Raw genomic sequence first — 11,660 nt, forward strand, 5'->3', positions numbered from 1 at the left:
ATTGCGTGATCTCGGCTAACGGCAACCTCTGCCTTCCGGGTTCAAGCGATTCTCCTGCCTCAGCCTCCCAAGTAGCTGGAATTACAGGCGCCCACCACCACGCCTGGTTGGTTTTTGTATTTTTAGCAGAGATGAGGTTTCACTATTTTGGCCAGGCTGGTCTCGAACTCCTGACCTCAGGTGATCCACCCGCCTCCACCTCCCAAAGTTCTGCAATTAGAGGCATGAGCCGCTGCACCCGGCCTGCTGTGACTCTTAAGACTAATTTTACCCACTGTTATCACTCATCAATAGAAGCTTGCCAGCTCGTCAAAACTTAACTGGTGCCATTTAACTTTCTTTCAAGACAATAAGCGACACTTCTTTTTTCTATAATCCCTCTAACCTCTTTGTTCTTCAGACATGCCGAAGACTACTCAATCTATGTGTATTCCCCAAATTACAATTCTTGCTTCCCAGACAAAACATTTTAAATTTAAAAATTTGTCTCTATATTTTATTTGACTTAAACATACTTGGTGTCAGAAGTATAGTTTCAAAGCTGAATCACCTCAGGGAGAATCACTGTGAAGAACTATGAAATGAGGTACCTGTACTTGGCCCCTTGATCCCCTCCTGTTTGCCTGGGTTGCCTTTTTCCCCCTGGTGAATCTCTCTTGGACCAAACTCCCCCAACTGTGTTGTTGTTGTTGTTGTTGTTGTTGTTGTTTTGAGTTCGTTTTATTTGGGATTTGGTTGGGGAGGTGGCTTACCTTCCATGTTTGAGAGAGGTATTTTCCTCTTTGGTTGAGAGATCTCCTGTTGGGGAGGACTCTTTTCCTCATGGCATATCTCAGCTGCAGGTCTGCATGAAGGGATTTTTCCTTTTGGGTGGTGGCATCAGTGAAGGGATTTTTTTTCCTTTAGTTGGAGAAGGTGGCTTATCATCCTTCTTAGTAATGTACTTTGTTTTCCATTCGTGTTTGTGTTTATTTGATTTTTGCATATTCAGCACTTGCATTTAATTGGCTTTTGTTTATTTGACATTAAACCAAATCACCTAGATAAATTTAGTTAGAATTGGGCTCCCAAAGTACAAAGACATAACAAAATATTTTCTGGGACTCCAGTCGGTAACATGTTCATTCAAACAGTCTGTTGTCCTTAAAACTATACTAAAAGGCCATGGCTAAAAGCTCATACACTCCAAAAAAGACTGACAGCTCAATTGATAATACTGATACTTACAAAAAAGGAAAAACAAACAAGATTCAGGACTCGAAGTTTGCCTTGCTACTAAATACTATCTCAAAGCTAGGTGAGATAGTATGTGCTTCCTATCTGGAATTTCCCCCTCCTCTTTCTACAGTTCCTCCTCTTTATCCTTCTTAAGCTAAACTCTCTGTTTCCAAAATTCTTAAGCTATTTTGGCATACTGACTATTTAAGTAAAAACAATTGAAAACCAGCAGATATAAAAAAAATGACATTCATGCTGTTTCCTAAAAGCAAAAGAAAATATTTCCATGCAAAAGATACTCTCCCTATACTAAAAGAAATGGCAACATTCTTATCTTCAAGGACTAAAACATGAGACCAAGAAAATACCATACAGACCTTGTTAGAATACCTCTTATCTTTTTGTCATGTAGTCACATTTTCACAGTTAACTATTCTTTGTCCAATCCATTGTATTGGTAACCAATTCAAACTGCTATACCCCAAATTTGGTTCACAGCCTTTATATGATTATCTGTTTTTAAAAATCTTCAAGTTTAGCCTTATTTCATTTTGTCAGAAAAATAGTTTGGATCTAACTGTCTTTTATAAACCAATGAGTTTGTATGTTTTACTATCTCATGACTACAATTCTAAAGTAAAAGCTGTAACATCTTTATTTATGGGTATGTATATATGTTTATTATATTTATCCACATGTACATGTATTATGTTGTATGTTGTGACTACATAATAAATCTGGCATAGTCAGCCAGAAATCTTTTAAGGAATACATTTAAATAAATGAGTACTCATGTCAAATGTATAGTAATTAATTCAAATTTCTTTTTAGTTTACTTAAGTACGTCTTTGATAAATTAACTGGTTTAAAAATTGTTGATAAAATTAGAAATGTTTTCACATTTCACAAAGTTAGAAATGTTTTCAATAATGAATGTACATTTTTGCCTGGCTTAATTTACTGATTAAACAGTTTTGTATTTGCCTCTGCTAGATGTTTTAAGGTCATGAAGCTGTATAACCAGACTAAAAGAAAATGATCTTTGTTTATGCAATTCTTTGATAAAAACAATTAATTTAATATTGTTGATTTAATAAAAATAGCTGTATCTTCTGAGTTACTAACAACATACCTATCCATTTAACTTTAAAATTCTTACTTAGGAAAACACTTGATATTCCTCTTTGGTGAGAGATCTCCTGTTGGGGAGGACTCTTTTTCCTCAGCTGCAGGTCTGCATGAAGGGATTTTTCCCTTTGGGTCGGGGCTTCAGTGAAGCGATTTTTTTTCCTTTGTTGGAGAAGGTGACTTATCATTCTTCTTAGTATGTACTTTGTTTTCCATCCATGTTTGGGTTTATTTGATTTTTGCATATTCAGCACTTGCATTAATTGGCTTCTGTTTATAGGTTATAAAATTTATTTATAGAAGGGCAACTTAAAATAATGATTACTTCTGTGTAAATACTCAATTTTCATAGGTAATCTAGGTGTAATTGTTAAAAAGCTAAATAAAATGGGTAATTGTAAATGGAATAAATGTTTATAAATGAAGCTTTTATGTAATTTAAAATCTTAAAATTATGTTAAATTAACAAATAGATATTAATTAAATTTCTTAGTCATGTCCAAACAAGATAAAAATATATTTAGCTCTACTAATAGAAATATACATTTAAGGAAAAATAATTTTGTATGATAAATAATCTTATATAGTGAATTTTTGTACTAAGATAAAATTAATAATAAATTTTTTTTAAATGAATGACTTAGAGGTTAAGAAAATATAAACAGTCTAAACAAGTCAAAGAGGATTTGTAAAGGATGGGCCTTATAAAGGAAGTTTTATGTGTGCTTCGATAAGCTGAGACTAAAAAGAAATTATTTATGTGTTTTTCTAAAAATTAAACATTGGTGGCAAGGAAGCACTGTTATAGTACCAGGGCCTGTTCGTATATACTGCAAACAAAGTTTTCTTGAAGTATTGACCTGCTCTTAATAAATTTGCCAACAGGTTTTGATTTTTTATTTTAAAATCTGTTTCTTTAATGCCATCTTCTAAACTGCAGACAGTTTCTATTTCTGCCACATTTCTTGCTGAGATGTATTTAATTTTTCTAGTTTCAAATTTAAAATGCTGCCCTTTTCTTTTACAATAATAATTTCATTTCTTGAGATAAAGTTTTCCTTTTGCAATTTCTCAGATTTATAGCTCAGAAGTTCAAATTTTGCTGTATCTCAGTGCACGTGATTTGCAGTTTTACATAATCATGGCTATACACAACAGAATGGCATTCTATTCTTTCTCCTCTTAAAAAGCTATATCTTTTTCCTTTGGCTGAGGGGATAACTCTCTCAACCTTTTTTTTTTTTTTTTTTTTTTTTTTGTCAACTCTTGTAACTTATTTCTCCACTTCTAACTCTTGTGTTAGTGGCCTGATGCTAAAATGTTTATTTTAAAGACCTAGAAAAGCAATGCTTTCCTCCAATATAATTAGATTCTATACACTTGGCTTTTCTTTATGTTTCTAAATTGTTCCATGTAACCAGAAAACTTCCCATGCTGTTATTAAGAGCTCAAGATACTAGTTTTCTTGTTTACATTCCTCTATAATATAGTGTACTCTCATAACCTTAGACACATTCTTTCTGTGTCTAGTATAATTCAAGGAACTTTTTCATCAAGTTTGACTTCCAGGTTACCTAAATGAGCTTCCTGTAAGGGGAAACAATGACTGCATAGGTTTTTCTTTCCTTTCTAGTAACTAACTTAAAGAAAGATAATAAATTTTATCAAGGTAATTGCTACATTGTCTTTCTTGGGTTTTGGGTTACTTAGGAAAACTTAGCTTTTGAAGGATTAAGGTTTGTAATCCATGTAAATTTCTACTTTGCTTTTGAAGTCTTCTGATTATTATTCTAGTTAAATGAATATTATATAATACTACAATGAGAGGTGAAGCCAGCTGGGCTTCTGGGTAGGGTGGGGATTTGGAGAACTTTTCTGTCTAGCTAAAGGATTGTAAACGCACCAATCAATGCTCTGTGTCTAGCTAAAGGTTTGCAAACACACCAATCAGCACTCTGTCAAAACAAACCAATCAGCACTCCGTAAAACAGACCATTCAGCACTCTGTAAAATGGGCCAGTCAGCTCTCTGTAAATTGGACCAATCAGCAGGATGTGGGTGGGGCCAAATAAGGGAATAAAAGCTGGCCACCCCAGCCAGCAAAAGCAAGTCGCTCAGGTCCGCTTCATCAGGCTGGAGGTTTTGTTCTTTTGCTCTTCCCAATAAATCTTGTTGCTGCTAACTCTGGGTCTGCACCACCTTTAAGAGCTGTAATACTCCCTGCAAAAGTGGACTTTCACTCCTGAAGTCAGCGAGACCACCAACCCACAGGAAGGAAGAATCTCCGGACACGTCTGAACATTGGAAGGAACAAACTCTGGACACACCATCTTTAAGAACTGTAACACTCACCATGAGGGTCCGTGGCTTCATTATTGAAGTCAGACCAAGAACCCAACAGAAGGAAGAAACTCTGGGCACGTCGGAACATCGGAAGGAACAAACTCTGTACACACGATCTTTAAGAACTGTAGCACTCACCATGAGGGTCTGTGGCTTAATTCTTGAAGTCAGACCAAGAACCCACCAATTCCAGACACAGCAGTGACCTATGACTCTGTTTTGATCAAGCATTTTGAGCCTTTTGACATGTTTGGCTAATTGTCCCAAAATCAAATTCTGAAATTCATGTAGTTTTATTCAATTTGGAAAGTATTATAACATCTGTTTAAGTTTTACTGTGGCCTAAAAATACTGATTTTTAGTTGTGCTACATTAAAATTTTCTGTACATCTTTTTTACTTCCTAATAAATTTTAGTTATTTTTAAAGGTCATAAAAGGTTTAATTGAGAACTCCATTTGAACTTGATATTAATACTCTTGTTTGGTTGCAAAGAGCAAAACTAAATGAGAACTATTTTAACTAAAATGAGGGTTTATAGAAAGAATAGTTTTCAAGTTGAATAAAAGTATATATGGAAATAATAAATGTTAGAGTTAATAAAAGACATGAGTTATATAGTTTTCTTCAAACATTTTATAAAATAATTTCAAATGAAATAAAGTACCCCATTCCTTCTCTCATGTTAACAAACATTTAAAATATGATAATACAAATGTAAACAAAAGTGCAAAGGAGGAAACTGAAATATAACTAGAAGAAATCCTTTGGAAGAAATTGAGCAACTCCTATACAAAACATCTAAGAGTGTATATGATATTGATCTGTTACTTCAGGCATAAGAAATCTATCTTTATAATATAACCCAAAGCATGAAAGTACTGCATACAAAAAAATTCATTCTTCCCAGGCAATGTATAGGTAATGAAACAGGAGAATAATTAAACAGTATTTTTTCCAAACTGTGTTCCATTGTATGCTAACATAGATTGTACGAATAAAGTGCTCTATGCCCAAGAATATTTAAAAGATTTTTTAACACAGGAGTCTTCACTCTAAACCTTCTTGGGACATTTTATACTCATATAAATTAGGAGTTCCCAAGAGGGATGTTTACTAAAAAATTTTACCCATAGGCCATTAAACGATGGTATATGTGAAGAACAACTAATTCTGTGGAAATTGCTTGTAATTCATTTTATGTTGGAAAAAGAAATGATGAGGGCTTGTAAGGCAAGACTGAAGTTATGTGAAAGAATAGGAATGTTGTTTTAGTGGCAAGGTAATTTGGATTTCACACAAAGATTCAATGAATTGTAATGAAGATCAATCAATATTTCTTTAGATTCAAGAGGTATAGAATTCAACACAGTTTCCGTCCCTCCCAGAGAGAAAACATAAGATCTTTCACATTTAAATAGATGCAGAGAACGATGTGTTCTGGAAGTGAATGTAAGTACATTGGTTCTCAAATTTCTCATATATCCAGACTCACTATTTGTCATTGTTGTACTGTAGTTATGACACAGGGTTATTTTTATTTTCTGTTTTGTTTTTTTTTCCGTTGTAAACCCACTTTGTCTCAGATTGGGGAGAAGGTAAGTAACAGGAGTAAAGGGTTTATCAAACTGTAAACGTTCTTTCTTCATCCACACTTTAGGACAACTGCAGGAGAAAGGCCCAGGTATCATTAAAACACAAAGAAATTTCTTTTTGAGGTGATGAAAATGTTGTAAAATTGTCTGTGGTGATGGTTGTATATATCCGTGAATATGCTAAAATCCTTTGGATCATACACTTTGAATTGTATAATATGTGAATTATATCTCAAGCTTTTAAAAATATGTAGCATGATAAGAGAACTAAACCTTAGGAATCAGTCATGGAGCTGTAAACAGAGAAATCTAGGCCTTGGGAAAAAAGTCACTGCTGCACTGAAAGTACGCATTTTACTCACTAGCTTGTTTACTGAAAAGCTAACTTTAAAATCACCCACTGACAAGATGTCTGCTCTAAATCAAAACGAGTTTTTTTCTCATTTGTTGGTCTTTTATTTGAAGCCAAAGAACATTACTGTGGATACACGTGGGCTATATTTACATAAAACTTTTGTCTTTAAATTCTACTAAAGTAACTTTATCATATTAAAATATGATATACTTTTAAAATACTTTTAATGGAGACTTTTTTAACTGTTACAATTGCTCTATACCACATGCTTCTCAGACAGTTTTTCTCTGGTATATCTAAAAGGCTCCAAACTGTTTCATGTTCTGAGGTATTTTATTTCATATATAACCTTTCTAAAAAATTCACAGTATACTTGGAATATCCTACTTCAACTAAGATGGGTTTCTATTATGTTGTTATTCTTCCTCTGTTTCATTAAATATATCCTGAATCTTTTATCTGCAAATTTATAATCTTATCAGTCGGCAATTATATTCTTCTATTAGAAGGAATCCAACTTACCTGTAGGAAAATTGCATTCTGAAATGAAGAAAATGTATTTCATGATTTAAAAATATGAATCATTGTCCACATGAGACTCCAAGTTTTCAAATTCACTTAGAAGGAGCTGGCAGAAAATATGCTGAACTAAGATAAGTATTTTAGTGAGGAAATGATTTCATTTATTTAAATCTGTCATTAAATATACTAAGTTTTGTGAAATAACTACATAAAACCCCAGATTTCACAGTAATTAAGTCAGTCCATCTTTGACTCTTTGTCAAAGATAAATCAGCCTTTAATTATTAATAACTTGGCTCCCAAATTTAGCTGTACTTTACAATTTTTGGGCATCAAATCAATCACAGGACAAAACCAATGTAAAAGCATACATTTTTAAAAGATTTTATGATATAACTCTTTTTGGTTAAAGAGACACATTCTGAATCTTTGTTAAAATAAGAAAATTGAGTACTTATCTTAGAATTTAAAAATTACACAGATGTGTGTTCTGCCCATAGCAAAATGATTTTACAATCAGAAGAATATCCAGTGTCCTTAGAATGGTAGTTCTCATTAAAGAAAGATTGGGGCCTCCAAAATGCTAAAAAAAAGTCACTATAGGTTTATTTCATAGTTCTTTAGATGATCGTTTAGGTAAATCAATCTCAATCACCATAAGATTTTATTTGAATGTTCTAAATCCAGACCATCCAGGATTCACCCTTTCTGTGTCTGCATTCTTCGGTGATCTTCAGCCCTACTCAGTTTCATGCACACCTAGAAGAAATTCATTCTTTCAGCAACAGCATATTAAGACCACCTAAAAGATACAAAACACAGTAGCAGTAAACATGGCAGACAGTATAAAACAGATCTTATATTCTAAGGTGTGGGAGCATGGTAGACAGACAACTAACAGACTAACACATATACAACAGTGTGTCAGGTAGTGTTGTGAAGAAATCTTGAGAAAGTAAGGATAACAGAGAGTTTGTGTTCATGTGAGGAGGATTACTTCAGAGAGGATATCTCGGCGGGGGCATCTCTGAATGAAGTGAAAGTGTAAATTAGCAAAGAAGTGGGGAATACCATTCCAGGCGAGACAAGAAACAGCAAAAGCCTTGAGATGGCATTTTTCAATAACAAGAACTGCTGTCCAGCCAGAGAATAGTGATCTAAGAAGAGAAAGCTTAGGGAACATGGTGTATTATTGGCTAATTGTGACCCCTCAAAATTCATATGTTGAAATCCTAACTCCTAGTCTCTCAGAATGTGACTGTTTTTGGCAACAGGATGTTTAAAAGTAACTAAGGTAAAATAAGGTCATTAGAGTGGGCCATAATACAATATGACTGGTGTCCTTATAGGAGGAGATTTGTACACAAAAAGGCACAGGAGAAAGACAGTAATTTACAAGCCAAGGGGAGGCTTCAGAAAAAAATAACCCTGCTGACATTTTGATCTCATACTTCTAGTCTGTAGACCTGTGGTAAGCTTATGTTGTTTAAGCTACTCTCTCTGCTGTAATTGTTTATGGTAGCCCTAGCAAACTAATGCAAGGTTGAGGAAGTAGTCAAGAGTTAGATGAAGTGGGGCCTTGGGTTAGTATTTGGCTTTAATTTTGAGATAGATGGGAAATTATTGGATAGTATTCAGGAGGAAATGAGATTATTGAATTTCTTTTCAAAGACGTCCCAACAGGTGGGTAGGACATTTCATGGAAGAGAGTATACTCTAATAACAGCCTTCACACCACAACTAATGTGAGCATGGCCTCCATCTCAAAGGCACATCATCAGTCTCTGGACTTAGCTTTGACATTTGTGAGAGCCCAAAATAGTAGTAACCTTGGAAATGATTGAGAGAGGAATGAAGGAGAGAGAAGTATTTTTATATGCAAAAAGGCATAAAAATAAAAAAAATCCCAATTTTGAAATTATACACATACCTTGTCACATTGTGATTTTAGGATAATTAACAGAATCTGGGTAGTTTTATTAAAAGAGAGGCTTGAGAATATTGATATTAAAGAATTTTACTGAAAGTAATATTTTATTTGGAGTTTAATGTGAACTTAATTTATATTTTATAAAGTAAATTAATTGTTATACTATTAAAATACTATAATAATGTATCTTACTCTGAAAAAAGAATTCAACATTGATTAAAATCAAGTGTATTCTCACAAATAGAGTTTTTCAAAATGTGATAACAAGTCTTCAAAAAATCTTTTCTTTCTTTATTACATTTTTATTTGAACCTAAAAAGTCTCTTCACTAAAATACAAAAATTGGGGTCTATGTTAGAATATTTTAGTTTTGTTTATATTGAATTCAGCACATTAGAACTCTAGTAACTTCAAATAATTTACATCAGTATAAAGGAATGGTCATAGATACACAATGGATGGATTTACATATGCATTTCAATCTGGTATCAATTCATTCAAATCAGCAACGCATAAGAATAGCCAAAAAGAAAATGCTGCTGTGACTAAATGTAAGGTTCTTAAAATGGTAGTAGAAAAAATATGTACAATAATACTTAAACAGTATTTTATTTAAACCTATCAAATACCATTTTCAAGAAAATAGAAATAAATACACTTGTTTACAAGCATGTTTACTAGGCACAAAGAAATGCAAAATATAATTCAGTGTTATTTAATATGAGTTTTCATCAACAGGCACATTTCTCGAATAACTTCCTGGAAATGGCATTACTGTGTTAAAGCAAAAAAGTTGCAGGGGACAAGATCAGCAGACCAAAGTTGATTTTATTCCGATATTATTGACAGCAATAAGTGAGAGAGCACAGAGCAATTCTGGATACCCAGATCCAGCTCCATACCAAGATAAAGGGCTAGAGGGTTTTTTAGCACTGGAGTGACCTAGCAAAAAAGTTCTGGAAGACATTAATGGGGTAGTTGATCAATGAAATGTGTTGAGTACATTGAGTTATTCTTGAGTTTACAAATGGTTTTCTCTGGGCTTAGGCTATCTGTGTTTGCTAATTGGTGTCCACTTCTTCCCTCCCACAGATACTGAGAGATAGAAGCACTCTCTTCCTTAATGATTACATTTCAAAGGGCTGGTTACCAGGCCCTCTGGAAAAGCACTCCTAGGTTGTAAAATTGCAAGAGGCTGAGAGCGATTTACATACATTTAAAATTGGCAGAGAAAAAATACATACTTGCAAATTTTCTTGTCAATGCTCTAACAAAAGAGAAGATGGAGGCCTATAGTCAGTATGAAACCTGTCTAAAGTTTAGTCAAGCTGAGAGGAACATTAAGCCAGTTTAGGTCAACTGCAAGGTAGGTCACATTAAGCATTTTAGTTAAATTTATTTTTTAAAAAATTTTAGGATTAATGATTGTAGTTTTAGGTTTTAGTATGTCATTTTCTTAAAAGTAGGTATATCACATAATTTTACACCCTCCTCAATTCTTATATACAGCAACATGCAGAAGGAAATATTTTTAGTTAGGGAGAGTATGGGCTTCAGAAATTACCCTGACCCAAATCTGCCGCATAATAACTGTGTGACCTTCAGTACATGGTAACCTTCTTCTGTCTTGTAAAATGAAAACAATGATAGCCATCTTACACAATCTTTGGCTAAATCTAACAACATATTATTGTAAAACATCTAATATACTGACTAGCACAAATAAGACAGCTGTCAAATACCATTTCCCTCCTCCTAATGCCCATAAGATTGTTGGAATAAAGCTTAGAGTTCAAAAAAATAACAATCTTCTGATAGGAGGAAAATATCTGTATTCTCTACCATCTTTTTTCCCTTCAAACACATATAATATAACTCATATGACTGAATGTTTAGAACAAGGTTCTTGAAGTTGCCAGTTTGGGAATTCCATGACTTAGTGCACCAGTGGCTTCTGTGACCTTAATAGAACCTCTGGGCCAGTGCTCATTCATTTCTGAAATAGACACAATACTGGAAAACATCTTTATTTCACAAGGGTGCTTTTTGCACTACTGAAAAAAAAATCTTTTTAAGTTACACAAGATGAAAGTACTATTGTTATTAAATATGTGATGAATTGTTAGTAATTCATATTCTGTGATGTTGTAAGAATCAGTAGCTTCAGGAGGCAAACACTCTCAAGAGTCTTGGGCAGAAGAAACTGTATAATGGCAATTGAATTAGCTGCTAAATTGGAAATAAATCATTGAGAAAACCCAGTATCCCTTTGGAAACAGAAGAAGCTATTATATCTCAGTAGAATACTTATAACACTGGAAGAGAAGTTTAATATGATCTCATTTCTTGCCCATATCTGTAAGAGTCAAGTGCTTCACTGGGACATAGCCAAGACATTTTCTTTTATAGAGCAATGCACTGTCAAGGTATTTTTTAAATATTTAATCTAATATTTGCAGGACCTTTGTTCACATTAAGAAATTGATACATACTAATTAATTTTGTCACATACATATGAATATATTGCTAACCTGTGTGATCAGTAAATGTTTTAAAATTTGCAAATGGTA

The 11,660-nt window shown here is 33.5% G+C and overlaps 1 annotated feature.

The window, feature by feature from the left end:
* Positions 1,513 to 1,713: a silencer, noted in NCBI's record as "peak5964 fragment used in MPRA reporter construct". NCBI's record gives its function as "represses an SCP1 promoter by STARR-seq MPRAs in K562 erythroleukemia cells {active_cell/tissue: K562}" and the evidence as "EXISTENCE:reporter gene assay evidence [ECO:0000049][PMID:32103011]".

Source organism: Homo sapiens, chromosome 6, assembly GCF_000001405.40.
Source record: "Homo sapiens chromosome 6, GRCh38.p14 Primary Assembly".
NCBI lineage: Eukaryota > Metazoa > Chordata > Mammalia > Primates > Hominidae > Homo > Homo sapiens.